The 15052-nt window shown below is 47.1% G+C and overlaps 2 long non-coding RNA genes across 4 annotated transcripts, besides 1 other annotated feature; one reads left to right on the forward strand and one right to left on the reverse strand.

Annotated features, from left to right (window-relative positions):
• Positions 1060–1563: an enhancer, noted in NCBI's record as "H3K4me1 hESC enhancer chr16:54396413-54396916 (GRCh37/hg19 assembly coordinates)". NCBI's record gives its function as "activates a minimal SCP1, AML or CMV promoter by ChIP-STARR-seq in naive H9 embryonic stem cells {active_cell/tissue: H9 hESC(naive)}" and the evidence as "EXISTENCE:reporter gene assay evidence [ECO:0000049][PMID:30033119]".
• Positions 4566–9258, reverse strand: LINC02140 (long intergenic non-protein coding RNA 2140). Of its 3 annotated transcripts, none has more exons than NR_134923.1 (2): positions 9125–9258; positions 4566–6218 (listed from the first exon to the last, which is right to left on the reverse strand). It is a non-coding gene; the product is annotated as a long intergenic non-protein coding RNA 2140 (long non-coding RNA). The 3 variants fall into 3 exon arrangements; NR_134924.1 differs by lacking the exon at positions 9125–9258 and adding an exon at positions 8951–9017; NR_134922.1 differs by lacking the exon at positions 9125–9258 and adding an exon at positions 8861–9017.
• LOC105371272 (uncharacterized) lies at positions 8806–13287 on the forward strand. The gene is made up of 3 exons (XR_933591.4): positions 8806–9056; positions 9143–9229; positions 12544–13287. It is a non-coding gene; the product is annotated as an uncharacterized LOC105371272 (long non-coding RNA).
• Positions 13288–15052: the final 1765 nt, after the last annotated feature.

The following is a 15052-nucleotide window of genomic DNA, read 5'->3' on the forward strand; positions in this document are numbered from 1 at the left end:
CCAGGAGCCTAGTCAAAGTTCCATCAGGATTTGCCACTAAGTCCTTGCTGCTGAGTCCTAAACACTCATCCTCTTTCCCTCTAGCTGGCAGACTGAGACCTAATGCCTTAAAGGAAGAAATTGGTTTAGAATGTCATTCTTAAGACATTCTAAGGGAAGATGTTTCTCTGGAAGATGTTAACCAGTGGCACTGAAGGGGAGGAGGGGAAGTGGGGTATGAGGGCAGGAACCGACATTCTGGGGACAGAGTGGAGCAAAGAGTAGGATCTTTACTCGGTGAGTGTGATTTGAGTAGACCAGGGCTTTTGACCTGGGCACTGCTTACATTTGGAGCTGGATAGTCCTTTGTCCTGTGTGTGTGTGTGTGTGTGTGTGTGTGTGTGCGTGCACGCTCAGGGGAGAGGGTGAGGGTGGCAAGGGTGTCCTGTGTATTGTAGGGTTTGCATCATCGTGGCCTCTACCTACCACATGCCAGCAGTACTTCATCCCCAGTTATGACAACCTCAGATGTCCCCTGACATTGCCAGATAGCTCACAGGGGAACAAAATCACCCTGGTGGAGAAACGCTGAAATAGACGTGGATCTTTCAGAGCTTGGATTCCTCATTTTCCTTAAAAGGCAGGTTCCATGTGGGTTATGGCTCCTCCTCCCCGTTTCCCTTTGTCTCAGAAGACCCCACTTTCACACGCCCTCCTAAGCAGCTAAGAGCAACCTTCCTTGGAAATAGGTGGATCAGAGGAGCTTTGCCATTGAAACCTTTTTTCCAATTACAGTAATTATTCCCTCTCGTCTTCACCATCAGGGCAGTCGGATAAGGCGCTGGACTTCTCCTTGCTGCCTTAATCTATACGATTCCAGTTCTGCCTTGATGAATGACTTTTCTGAATGCTTCTGCCTTGCCTGTGTGTGTGTGTGTGTGTGTGTGTGTGTGTGTGTGTGTGTGTGTGTTGGGGGGAGTGCTGTGGCCAGGCTGGGGCTGGGGGTGGGGTGCATTGATTCTTCCCAGTCCTTGTCCCTTGGATGCCTCGCAGGCCAGGGCGGCCCCACCGCAGCAATCCTTTTCCCACCAAGCTGCGCTCACAGCTGACCTCTCTCTTCCCCTTAGCTCGGGGCCTCCTCTCTCCCCTCTTCCACCCTCCACCTGGGCCACCTCTCCTGACCCCATGACTCCGTGTTTCCTAACCAATGCTGCTAATAGCCACTGATCACCGAAGGGCAGTTTAAATTCTATTTAGACTTAAAAAGGGGGTGGGGGAAAGAGCAAAACTTCAAAAGCTGTTTCCTGCAAGCAGGGCGGAAGCCAAGTCCGGCCATCATCAGCAGAAGCCGGATCGATATTTCAGCACCATCCCCTGGCTGGGGTTTCGAGGAACTTTTATTATGATTGCGGTTAAGCTGTTCTAAAGTGGAGCATCGTTTATAAAACAAACGGATCCCTTCCAAATAGGTTATTTTCCTGGTTAATGACCGATGGTCTGCCCTGGGGTCTGTCTGAGTTGCGATTCCAGATGGGAACAGACACTACCAGCCCAATTATCTTTATTAAGTGTTTTTCCTCCCCCTTTCTGAAAAACGAAATGGCAGCCAGCTCCGCTGTCCCCTCTTCCCCTTGCTCTCACCCTGCGCCATTTCCTGCATTCGCCTCATTATGGACAAGTATGTCCTTTAAGACACAGAGACTAATGAGGCGGTTTTATGAGACTAATACATTTTAAATTTTAACGCTGGAGCTAGCATCTTTAATTGTACAATTATACATTCATTTGGCACACACTCTCTCTCACTGTCTTTTTTTTTTTTTTGCGTTAAAAGATAACAAAACCACAGGTGACCAAAGGCATGTGAAAAGACCAAATTTATGTCATTCTTTAGGGTACTAAATCATGCAAGAATAAAAATTGTTTTTCTCCTGATAGATTTCTTAAGCAAAAGTAGTTAGCTACTGTTTCAATGAGAATGATTTTTTTAAAAAAAACTGGAGCAAGGAAGGATGGGAGAGGGTTAAATTATATCTTGTTGCAAACTTCTATCTTTACAGTCGTCTATTTCTACATATAGAGCCTGTAGCTAGAAAGCATTTTGAGAATGAAAGAAATCTTGATATTCTGTGGCCCAGCAGCTGGTGAGAGAGAGAAAGAGAGAGAGAGAGAGAAGCTACATATCCTGTCTCTAACAAAAGCCCTCTACATTCCCTACCTGACAGGACCTTATTGGGGAGTAATAAATAAGGCTGAATTATTGATGACGAGAACTGCTAATATTATTATGACCTCAATTAAGTGCTTTTTTCAGACACATTAGCAACAAAGGGTCTTCCCTCTCCTGGTTGCTGTTTCCCCCCACCAGGCCCCACTTTACATTAAAATCTAATTGATCAAACCTATTTGCCATTCGCACAAGAGTGATCACCATAAGGGGTCATCTATCAGCATGGACTCTTCATCCGGCGATTAACACCTTTTGTTGCCGGCCTCAGTTCTGTACCAGCTGAGAGGATCAGAAAGGCAGTGCCTCCCATCTGTGTGTGTGAGGTCTGACTTGTGGACCCTTTAATTACCTCCTTTAACACCCTTGCAAAACACAGAAGACATCCTTGCTTTTGAGGAAGTCCTGCCAGGCAGCCTTGGGGTTACAAGATGGCACCCTCCTTATCTGGAGCAGAGGTGTCCTGGTGGGGACCTTGCTGTCTCCACGCCTTCCGCTCACTGCCCACTCCCCTATCTCCCCGCCATCACATGGCCTGCTCCAGGGAGTCTCTGTGTCCTGTCTTCAAGAAGTTCGGAACTTGGTGATGAGTATGGGGGTGGATGAAGAGTGGACAGAAGCCCTTATCAAAACCCAAGGCTGGGGCTGGGCCGAAAATGGACACCTGCACCCTCCCACTCCAGGGAGTGGAGCCTCCCCATAAGTTCCCGGCCTGTGATCACTCAGGACCATGCACCACCCATAATCCCCTTGAAATGTATATAAATTTATGTTTACATGTATTTTTGTGGGAGAGGGTTAGAGCTTCCATCAGATTCTCAAATTTGTTCATGATCCCAAAGTGGGTTAGAACTATTTTCTCAGGAACATCTTTTTACATTTAATTTTATTTATTTTATTTTTTAATTTACACTTGGTCTTGCTCTGCTGCCCAAGCTGAAGTGCAGAGACACAATCGTAGTTCACTGCAGCCTTGAACCCTGGGCTTAAGCACTCTCGCCTCAGCCTCATGAGTAGCTAGGACTATAGGAACGTGCTGCCAAGTCCAGCTAATTTTTGAATTATTTTGTATAGATGGGGTCTCCCTATGTTGCCAAGACTGGTCTTAAAACTCCTGGCCTCAAGAGATCAGGAGCTTCTTAAATGGCAGAGGTCTTCCATGGGGTTGACTCTTAGACAGGATCTTGAGTCTGGTTTTGGGAATGTGAGTAAGCCATTGGGATGAGCTTGGCTCTTGGTGCATGGTGTGATGTTGGGTCAAACTCTCTCACTCTCTTCACTTCCCTCCTGGGTCTTTGTCTTCTCTGCCAATTTGGTCAAAAGAAAAAATGCTCATCAACTTTCTGCTTCCAGTAGTTAGTGTAAGGGTGGGCTTTCTAAATGAGTGCAGCTTGTACAGATCCTGCCACTGGGTGTTGGAAGTAATGAGAATGTAGGCAGTGCCTTGCACAGGCTGTATTGCTGCTGATGAAGAGGAAACAGGTCCCAATATGGCCCAACAGGAATACTCTTGGGGTGACCTTGTACAGCTTGGAGCACTATTTAAGGTCATCTTTTTGGCTCACTCAACTCCACCTACCCACCATGAAAATCACATTATCATTCGTTTCCTGATTATAAATCAATACATTCAGAAATCAGTCAGAAAAGATTGAAGGCTGGGCACATGGCTCACGCCTGTAATCCTAGCACTTTGGGAGACCTAGGTGGCAGATCGTTTGAGCTGAGAGTTCAAGACCAGCCAGGGCAACATAGTAAAAGCCTGTCTCTACAAAAAATGCAAAAAATTAGCTTGGTGTGGTGGTATGAGCCTATGGTCCCAGCTATTTGGGAGGGTGAGGCAGGAGGATCACTTGAGCCCAGCAGGCAGAGGTTGCAGTGAGCCGAGATCAGTTTGCGCCACTGCAAGTTAGCCTGGATGACAGAGTGACGCCCTGTCTCGAGAAAAAAAAAAAAGGTAAAACATTCTCAAATCTTCACATTTTGGCCTATCTCAATTTTTATTCTTTTTCCTATGCAAATAACAATAGAAAGATATCCAGAAAAACTAAAAAAAAATAAGAAGGGAACTATGTGTATTATTTCTTATTTTTCTTACTTACATAGTAACATACATTGTAAATGTCTTTCCACGTGAATAAATATTGTTCGGCATCATCATTTTAAATGACTGAATAATATTTAATAGACTAGATTTACCATATTTGCCAATCCCTTCTTGCTAGGTACTTAAGTGGTTTCCACTTTTGTCTATTAGAAACAGCGCTGCAATAAATGTCTTTATAGAAACATGAGGTACTTACCTGATTACGTTCTTAAGATGGATTTGTAAAAGTAGGATTTCTGGGTTAAAGGGTTTGTGTTAATATTTTTTATTTACAGTACAGATTAAAGGATAGGGTGCACCATTTTTGTAACTTTTAAGGCGTTGCAAAAGGGCATTTTCTGTCAAATATTTGTCCAAAGCAAGGAGGTTTGGAAGAGAGGAGAGTGGAGTTACATAAGGGCTGACTTAGTGAGTTTTCTTTCTCCAAGTGCAAGTCTGAAGGGCCTAGAGCAAATAGGCTTAGTTTTCTGCCCAGTGGAGGCTGAAGTAGAGACAGATCTTTGGCCTCTTCTGGAAGTGCTGTTGAATACACAGCCCCCTTTGATACACAGATCACCTCCAGGTCAGCAAAGAGGCTTCGAGGCTGGCAGTGGTGATGATCATGCCCTGGCCCACCCTTATCTCAGAGCTCCGATCTGACGCAACCAGTCCCCATGCCAGGCGGCCAGGCTGGGGTCGGTCTGCCCACAGCTCCTCCAGAGAATGGGGCTAGGCAGAAGGTGGCACGGTCATGAGACATCCTGCCACGAAGTGTAGCTTGTCCATTTAGCACTGCCTAGCGGCTTTTCAGCCTGCGTTGTCTTAATTCAAGTTGTCATTCATAGACAAGTAGAAAACTAAAATCAATAAATGGTGAAAATGGGCTTTAAAGGCAAACTAAAGTCACAGAGCAGGGAGAGAAACAGCATCCATTGCCTCAGTGGGTTATGTTTTTCCTTCCTATTTAGAATGACTGGATCTGGGGCCTGTGTTTTTTTTTAAAGAAAGGAAAGGAGGAATAAGACAAGTACATATCTCTTTTAAAGATGTACAGAGTGTTCATTGGATAAAATCTCAGGCCTGGAGCATCATTTGATTGGGCTACAGAGAATGATGAGGATGATGGTATTTGGGGATGGGTCTCTATTTTCTCCCAGGACCGTAGCAGGTATATCTGGGGATGTCTGTCTGTCCGATTGCTGTGTTACTTCCCTCAAGTCTGTGCACTTCTCTGGGCCAAGTCTTCTCAGTTGGAAAATGGAGTTGGACAAGGTGCAGTGATTTTGCAGACTGTTCTCTGGTGAGAAACCACAGCAGATGTGCCTCAGGAAGCATCAGGATAGGAGTGGGGGTTAGGTGGAAGGGGCTCTGGTCCTGCAGCTGAACCTTGACAGAACAGCCCTGGGTTCCTGCCAAAGATTTCATTTGAAGTTAGAATTTCATGGCAGAGACAATCATTAGAAAAAAAGTCACCGAAAGAGAGGGTTTCCAAGTTTCCTTCCGCTTCTGAGGGTTATAAACATCTGTTGCATGTCTACAAGTTATTTCTGAAAACCCAGCTTGGACTAATTCCACCTTCTTCCTGTGATTAGTGTAGAATTGACAAGAGTAGAGAGGGTGCCAGGTCCAGGTAGGGGATGGAGTGCTGGTTCCAACTATTCCTGGAAATACTGAAGGACTCCTTTGTGACACATGGGACATCTCAGCCTGGGTTGTCATCCCATGGGCTTGGGTGTCAGAGATGGAACAAGGGGAGACACAAGTCATACCAGGAATAAATTTCAAACCAAGAGGCGACAACACAAATATGGTAATACCATTTAGGTGGCACTCTGTGACCCAATCTCTGTGGCAAAACCAGGAAACAATTTCTTGTGTTTCTTTTGAAGAAACCAGGCCTTCTGTTTATTGGCACTAAATGGTGGCCTAGAAGGAGAAGGAGAAAGAAGGCTTCATTGGCAATCCCAATCCTTGACATCTTTCTCTCCCAAAGCCACTCCCCACCTCTACCCCCCTAAAAAAATCAAAGTAAGATGTGGGCTTGCCACACAGATCTAGACAGGTCCCCTAGCAGCCTCTTTCTATGAGTTTGTTGCCACTAGGCCCTTCCTATTTAGAAATTCTGGAGTCTCTGAGAGGCAGACTGATTTGCCCAGCTCAAATATAGAGAACCACTAAGGGTTAGTAAAGAAACTCATTAGCAAGAGGGTTGTCAGACATAGAAATTCGAGCTTACCTGTCTTTCGAACATACAAAAGCCAACATTTTGGGAAATCTTTCTAAGAAATGTAGTGCTAAAAAGTTGACTCAGAGCTAGAGAGCTGGTGCTGGCAGCCAGCTAGTTTCTTGAGGTGGGAATATACTGAGCCTTCTGTTGGGAATGGAGACCTGAAGCTCTGAGCAATTGTGGACCATCCCCCTATAACCAGCAGCAGCAGTGTTGAATCTACCTTCCTGTCAAACAGCCAGTATTCCAAGGGCCTGGGGCTGCTGTATTCACTTGGCTTCTGAGATAAGTGGACCTATAAGCGCAGAGAAAAATCTCTATCCGTGCCCTGGCCTAATTCAACAACCTTGGGGTGAGGCAGATGCAAAAGGTCCCACTTTTCCTTGAGCTCTTCCTACAAGTCAGTTTGATTAGGTGTTACCAAAAGGGGCATCCAGGTCGGGCGTGGTGGCTCATGCCTGTAATCCCAGCACTTTGGGAGGCTGAGGCGGGTGGATCATTTGAGGTTAGGAGTTTGAGAACAGCCTGGCCAACATGGTGAAACTCTGTCTGTATTTAAAATAATAATAATAATAATAATAATAATAATAATAATAATTAGCCGAGCATGGTGGTGCATGCCTGTAATCCCAACTACTTGGGAAGCTGAGGTGGGAGAATCGCTTGTGCCCTGGAGGCAGAGGTTGCAGTGAGCCACAATCACGCCATTGAACTCCAGCTTGGGCCACAGAGAGAGACTCCATCTCAAAAAAAAAAAAAAAGGTGGGGGGCATCCATCACATGCCCATCATAATATCTTCTTGTTTCATTTTAATTTTTAATTGAATTTCATATATATTTTTTGAGACAGAGTTTTAAGCTGTCACCAGGCTGGAGTGCAGTGGTGTGATCTCAGCTCACTGCAACCTCCGCCCCACCGGGTTCAAACAATTCTCCTGCCTCAGCCTCCCGAGTAGCTGGGAATACAGGCACGCACCACTACGCCCAGCTAATTTTTTTTTATTTTTAGTAGAGATGGGGTTTCACCATGTTGGCCAGGATGGTCTCTATCTCCTGACCTCATGATTCGCCCACCTCCCAAAGTGCTGGGATTACAGGCGTGAGCCACCCCACCTGGCCCCCAATTTTTTTTTATAGAGATGGGGTCTTGTTGTGTTGCCTGGGCTGGTCCCAAACTCCTGACTTCAGGCAATCCTCCCTCCATGGCCTCCCAGAGTGGTGGGATTACAGATGTGAGCCACCGTGCTCAAGTCATAATAGCTTCTGACATTTAATGAGCGTTTACCCTGGGCCACACACTGTTCGAAGCCTTTGACATGTACTCATTTCACACACGAACACACTGAGGCTCAGAGAGGTGAAAGTGGTAGAGCCAGGACTGGATTCTGACTTGAGTCTGGGTGTGTAACCCTGAGACAATTTTGTCTTTGAAATCACATCAGTCTACATTTAAAGGATGAGAGAGAGAAAAAGAGAGAGAAGCCTGAAGGCTGGAAACTTCGATGCTTGATCTTGGCCATGATCAATCCTCTATCCCATGGGGTCCCCAGGAACCATGCACTGAGAGCAGGCACAGGGCTGCTGTATTCATAGCTGAGGCTTCAATCCCAGCAGTCCCCAATTCAGTGTTCTGCTGGGACAGGCTGGGCCACATGGTACACTCCCTTTGCCCAGATTACAAGGAAGGCAAACAAGAGGAATGTTCTCTGTGGCTGAGATACAGGTCCTCTCAGATGGGGACAGTTAAAGGTGCAGAGGGACAGGCCAGCCCCTCTTAGGAAGGCACAGCCCGTGCTCCTGTGACTGGACAGAAATTCCGTGTTTGAGGGCCTGGTCCGTGGAGATGTCCTCCAACCTGACCAGTGATGGAAAACACCTGTGCCTGTCTCCTATGGGAAGAAACCCATCTTCTCTTTTACCTCCACTCTGCCTCTCACAAGCGGTTTCCAAGGTGGCAATGAGGATGGCTGTTCACAAATCAGCAAAGTGCAGAGCTCTTTCTGTGAGATGCTTAATTTTTGTGAGTTGTGGAACCCTATTTATTTTATGTGACAGTCTCTTCCTTCCCCCTACCGTGACAGAGTGTTCTGTGGCGTATGTTATGATCTTTAATTAAAGGGAACTTAATTTGGTTTTGAGGCAGCCTTTGTTCGTTGGCGACACCCTAGGGTGTTTTAAAGTCAGGTTTTGGAATCATTGCCATTGAAGCTTGGTGTCTAGGGCAGACTCACTCCTATGGACCGACTCTGGTTGCCCGGATATCAGGGAATATGTGTCCCCCTCACCCCCCTCCCGCCCCTCCATGGAGAAGCTGGAACTTTACCAGGCTTTTCCCACTTGCCTTGGGATTTTCTGCCCATCTTCCCAGGAACACCCGGCAGGCCCCATGAATGGACCTTGGGCCAAAATGATGTTTAAGAAGGGGACGGACCATTTAGATGACAAATGGGCTTCAGGGCGCTGTCAGAACTTCCAGGCGGCGGGGACTATTAACGGTCACATGGAGGCCGCCGCATCTGTGATGGCAGAGCGGGTCGGTGGGTCCCCACTGCTGTGTTTACTGCTCCTTAATGTGGTATTGTTTACTCACAATTAAACCCTTTACCATTAATTTAACTTTCAGATGCTGAAATTGGTCACACAGCCTCGAGTCCCAAGGCCCGGACAGATGTGTTCTATACACTTGTTTAAACACGGCGCTCATTAGGAGGTAATGCATGTATGGCAAGTTGATTACACCACAAAGCAGGATGCTTTATCATGGGGGCCTCTCAGGAGGCGGCGGGAGGGGCGGTCAGCTGCTGCTGTCACTCTTCCCCCCTCGGATCCTGAGTGACGGCTCGGCCTGCCACCTCCTCAGCCGCCTGCTCGGAAGTACACAGCTTCCCGTCAGAGCGCCGCCGAGCTGCCTGGGAGGAGGTATTAATTGTTGTCAGCCTCCATTTCACACCCCAGATAACAAACGAGAGCCACTCTGGCAGTGTTTAAGGAAGATAAACAAGTTTCCTGAGCCCCTGCAATGAAACACGCTTGCATATTTAACTGAGATGTTTCCTGTAAAAACGCAGGGCTGCCCTGAGCACGTTCGCACGGAGTGGCCCTTCCAGATGCCAGCAGCAGCGTCCTGTGACCTGGAGGCTGCCCACCCCATGTGGCTCAGAAAGAGGCCCCACATTTGCAGAGTCTCTTAGTAAACCACATTTCTCCATCTTGATTCAAACAGACATCAGAGTTCAGGGGGATGTGGAAAGAGCAGAACCTCTCTTACTATCTAGTAGGAAAAAGGTGGAGTACTGCAGTGGTTAAAAGAAAGGATTCCCGGGCTGGGCGTGGTGGCTTATGCCTGTAATACCAGCATTTTGGGACGCTGAGGCAGGAGGATTGCTTGAGTCCAGGAGTTCGAGATCAGCCCGGGGAACATAGCAAGACCCAGCCTCTACGAGAATGAAAAATAAATTAGTTGGGAGTGGTACTGAACGCCAGTAGTTCCAGCTATTCTAGAGGCTGAGGCCCGAGGATCCCTTGAGCCGAGGAGTTCAGGACCAGCCTGGACAGAAGAGCAAGACCTACAAAAAAATACAAAAATTAGCTGGGTGTGGTGACGCACGCCTGTAGTCCCAGCTACTCTGGAGGCTGAAGCAGGAGGATCCCTTGAGCCCAGGAGTTTGAGGCTGCACTAAGCTAGGATCTTGCCACTGCACTTCAGCCTGGGTGACAGAGAAAGTTCCCATCTCTTTAAAATAAAATAAAATAAAATAAAATAAAAAATTCTTGGAACCAGACTACCTGGATACAAATTCCGGATCTGTCTTTCTAAACTGGATTAGTTTGATCATCAAGTAACCCTTTGAGCCTCAGTTTTCTCATCTATAAAATAGCTATAGTAATAATACGTATCTCCTCTTCTGTTGTTATGAGCATTAGAGGCTTACATTATGGCACTGTGCCTGACCCATGGTAAACGGTGAGAAAATGCTAGTATTGTTAATAATTATGAGACTATAATAACCATCTCATAATAATAATGATGAGGTTATCAAATGTTACTTTTACCTTTCAATAAACAAAATTGCTTAGGAATAGATGGTTAAAGGGACTAGTTATAGGTCATCCCTAAACTGAGTGCTGTGACAGCAAGGTTTGCCTGTCACATCCCTCTGCTCTGCGGAACCGAGGAGGTGGCGTCTGATGAGCTCATGGCTGAAGTTGTTCTTCAGTGCTTTTCCTCAGGGCAGATTCAGCAGGCCCAGGAATTGGACAGACCTCCATCTTCCAGATATTTCTAGATACTTCCAGATATTTCTGCCCCAACCCCTGACAGGATTGAATCTGCTGGATAAACTGTTTGCTTCTCAAGTTGTTGTTATTGTACTTTTTTTTTTTTAGATGGAGTCTTGCTCTTGTTGCCCAGGCTGGAGTGCAATGGCACGATCTTGGCTCACTCCAGCCTCTGCCTCCCGGGTTCAAGAGATTCTCCTGCCCCAGCCTCCCAAGTAGCTGGGATTACAGGTGCCTGCCACCACTCCCAGCTAATTTTTGTATTTTTAGTAGAGATAGGGTTTCGCCATGTTGGCCAGGCTGGTCTCGAACTCCTGACCTAGTGATCCACCTGCCTCGGTCTCCTAAAGTGCTGGGATTACAGACGTGAGCCACTGCACCCAGCCCATTGTACTTCTTTTAATGTGGCTCTGCAGCAAAGTCCCGAATCCACCATTACATAGTAGCCTGTCCCTCCGTTCCCTGCCTCGGGTGCCTCCCCAACCCCAGCTATGCAAGGGAACTAGGCAGCTGGGATGGACACTCCCTGCTACCCTGTCCTGGTCACATAAAGGAAAGAATAAAAAGGCCACAAGGAAGAATACGGACTTTCCCCTTCTCCAGATTCCCAAGGAAAATGGTCTGATACTTGTGATCCACTGCAGTGTCACAAACATCTTTTTTTTTTTTTTTTTTGAGAAGGAGTTTATTCTTGTTGCCCAGGCTGGAGTACAATGGTGCCATCTTGGCTCATTGCAACCTCCGCCTCCCGGGTTCAAGCGATTCTCCTGCCTCAGCCTCCTGAGTAGCTGGGGTTATAGGCATGTGCCACCACGCCTGGCTAATTTTTGTATTTTTAGTAGAGATGAGGTTTCGCCATGTTGGCCAGGCTAGTCTCGAACTCCTGACCTCAGGTGATCCACTCGCCTTGGCCTCCCAAAGTGCTGGGATTACAGGCATGAGCCACTGTACCCAGCCACAAACATCTCTTGGGCATCTACATGCAGTGTTCTAGGTACTGCCATTTGATACTCTGTCCTGGGCATCTTATCCTTGTTGGGTAAGTCCAAACCATAGCCCTTTTATCACTGGGCCTTTCCACATGTCCCTTCTGCTGCAAGAGCCACTTCTACTGAGACCTACACCCTTTCTGCCTCACAGGCTCCCAGGACTTGGCTTTTCCTGACCTACTTGACTGTGGGGCAGATCTTTCTGTCTTAGGTCCTCAGAGCACTCTCTTTTTTCCTTTGTAGCATCTTTCAAAATACTCATTATCTGAGGAATTATCTGTTTAATTTCCACATTCCCAGTGAAGATGGGGGCTGTCTGTCTTGTTTACCCCATCACGCCAGCACCTAGGACTCCACTTGCAGATGCTCAAGAGATGTTTGTGACACTGCGGTGAATCATAAGAATGAGTCAGACCATTTTCCTTAGGGATCTGGAGAGAGGGAAAATCCTTATGATTCCTCGTGGCCTCTTTATTCTTTCCTTTATGTGGCTCAGTGATGATGACACTGCTCCGTTGCCTCCGTTTCCTTGTGGGAGAAGGAGGTAGGGAAGGGTTAAAGTGGACTTGCCCCAGATCAGGCGTTTGCGGTGCCCCTTCTGGAGGTCTGCAAGTCATCACTTTTGCCTTCAGCCGCGCTGACACCACCAACTGCCCAAGAACCCACGATGATTTGTCCTTGGACAATGCAGAGGATGTGGCTCTGTCTTGTGGGTACATTTCAGGGAGGTGGGACCTTCACTTATTTGTCTCCACAGCTGCTTCCTCTGGGCTTTGTGGTTGCCCATTTGCCGCCTTCTCATCCGATCGCGTTACCCTTAATAACCATCGCCCTGGCAGGAGAGGGGTGCCGAATTCCGTCTCCTGCGTGCCTGCGTGTGTAATGTGCCGAGCAAGTGATCCTAATGATGCATTCAGCACACCACTCCCCAAAGACCCGGCTTCCAGCTTATCCAAATCCATTTATATTCCCGCTCGGACCTTTGGGATCAAAATTCCTGACCCTTTTGTAAAAAGCAAAAACACCGTTTGAAAAAAACAGAAGAGGGAGGTGAAATTCCCCAAGCTTTCATTTCCCTTCATGGTTGAACTTCGATGACTCAAGTCATTTGCAGTCAATCTATTTCGCTGACTTGTCCTGCTGACTGCCAGGAGGTCAACATTTCTGACTTTGCCCCTCCAGGGGCAGCATGTGGTCCCAGCTGGTTGTGCTGTGCTGTGGTGGGAATGGGGGCTGGGGGAGGTGGCTGTGTCATCTGGAAGCTACGTTGGGGGCTCTCTTCTTTTGCACTGGAGCTTCACATTCTGCAAAGATGATACTTCCAGGATAGTGCTTTTGTTTGCTGTTTGTGTTGGGTGGGATTAGCTCTGATTACATATTAATAACCTAGAGCACTATCTAGTAATTAGATGTTATCTTCCAGATGTTTAAAAGAAACCTTTAATATTTTAAGCTGCTTGGAGTTCTCTTGGCACTTTATTAAAATGGATGGAATTTAAAATGGGAGTCGGTGGTGAAGGTTTTTCTAGATTCTCTTGTTGGTCTAAGGCCCCACGGCCCAGGGTATCTATGAAAGAACCCAAAGCATTTATTGTGGTAGCCCCTATTTGGGAACAATTGGGGCAGCCACCCATTCAGTGGGTGGCAGAGAGACGGCCACGGCACTTCTGGCCCCTGTCAATCGGCTGGGGCAGCCCATTGATTTCTTTGAACCACTTGAGTGAATCTCTCAGAAGTTCCCCTCCTCTGAATCCCACACAATCGCCTGTTCTCTCTTTATTAGGCGCTTTGAGGGACAGCCTCGTCTACACCTGCCTTTGAAGGGGCCCCCACCACGGTTTTAATGACCTCCATCCGTCAAAGGAAAAGTTCAGAGTTCATTCTTTTGTCCAAGTCCCAGCAACTGAGGAGTTGAGGGTGCTGGCTGGTCCAGGCTCTTTAAGTCACCCGCCTGAAAACTTTCCCTGTGACCCGGCTCATGTCAAAACAGCGAGCTGGCCGCTCTGGCCATTGTCATCGGAATAAGGGCTAAGTGATGCTGCTTGGTCATTACGTGTGCCCTGATTGGCAATCAGGGTACAATAGGGGGTCATTAAAGGCCATAAAACTGCCAAAGCTCTGAAAAGGGGATTTTGAATGGAGCCAGAAGGCTCTGGGAGCCTGCCTTTGCCGTGCCTTCAAGGAGAGGGGGTTTGAATTGATCTGGGGGGAAAAGTCAGCTTGGTCTAGATTAAGAAGTGTCTCCCCTGTGACATCAGAACGAACTGATCTCCTGGTGTCATCTTCCTAGTGCTCGTTCCTCCATTCTTAAATGAGATCCACCAGGAGCAACAACGCAATTCACACGTTGTGAAGTAAAGGCTGGCGGGATAAGGCTTTATACAAGGAGGTGAAAGTTAGTCATAAATATATAAATGCTTATTGGATTAAAGACTCATCATGGCCCGGCACAATGGCTCATGCCTGCAATCCCAGCACTTTGGGAGGCCGAGGCAGTGGATCACTTGAGGTCAGGAGATCGAGACCAGCCTGGCCAAAGTGGTGAAATCCATTCTCTACAAAAATACAAAAATTAGATGGGCGTGGTGGCACATGCCTGTAATCTCAGCTACTCGGGAGGCTGAGACAGGAGAATTTCTTGAACCCAGAAGCAGAGGTTGCAGTGAGTTGAGATCATGCCACTGCACTCCAGCCTAGGTAACAAAGCAAGACTGTCTCAAAAAAATAAAATAAAATAAAATAAAATAGTAATCATGCATTTATGTATGTATATAGCTCTCTATAATGAAAGAGGTAGTTCTTATGGAGCATTCATTTTATTTATTTATTTAGAGACAGGGTCTCACTGTGTCACTCAGGCTGGAGTGCAGTGGCGTGATCACCGCTCACTGCAGCCTCCAACTCCCTCCTCAGCCTCCTGAGTAGCTGGGACTACAGGCATGTACCGCCACGTCCAGCTAATTTTTAAGAAGAATTTTTGTAGAGATGGCGTCTCACTATGTTGCCCAGGCTGGTCTTGAACTTTGGCCTCCAGCAATCCTCCTTCCTTGGCCTCCCAACGTGCTGTGATGACAGGCATGAGCCACTGCACCTGGCGTGAACACTCATTTTGTATCAGGCCTTGTTCCAGGTTTTTACAGGTGTTAACTTAGTTAAACTTCACACCAACCCATGGAGGTAGGTTAGCATGACATATAACTAGAAAAGACATTCTTGTAAAACTGCCTCTGCATGGCCTGGCTTGAAAAGGAACCATGGAAAGAGAA

This window comes from Homo sapiens, chromosome 16 (genome assembly GCF_000001405.40).
Source record: "Homo sapiens chromosome 16, GRCh38.p14 Primary Assembly".
NCBI classification, from domain to species: domain Eukaryota; kingdom Metazoa; phylum Chordata; class Mammalia; order Primates; family Hominidae; genus Homo; species Homo sapiens.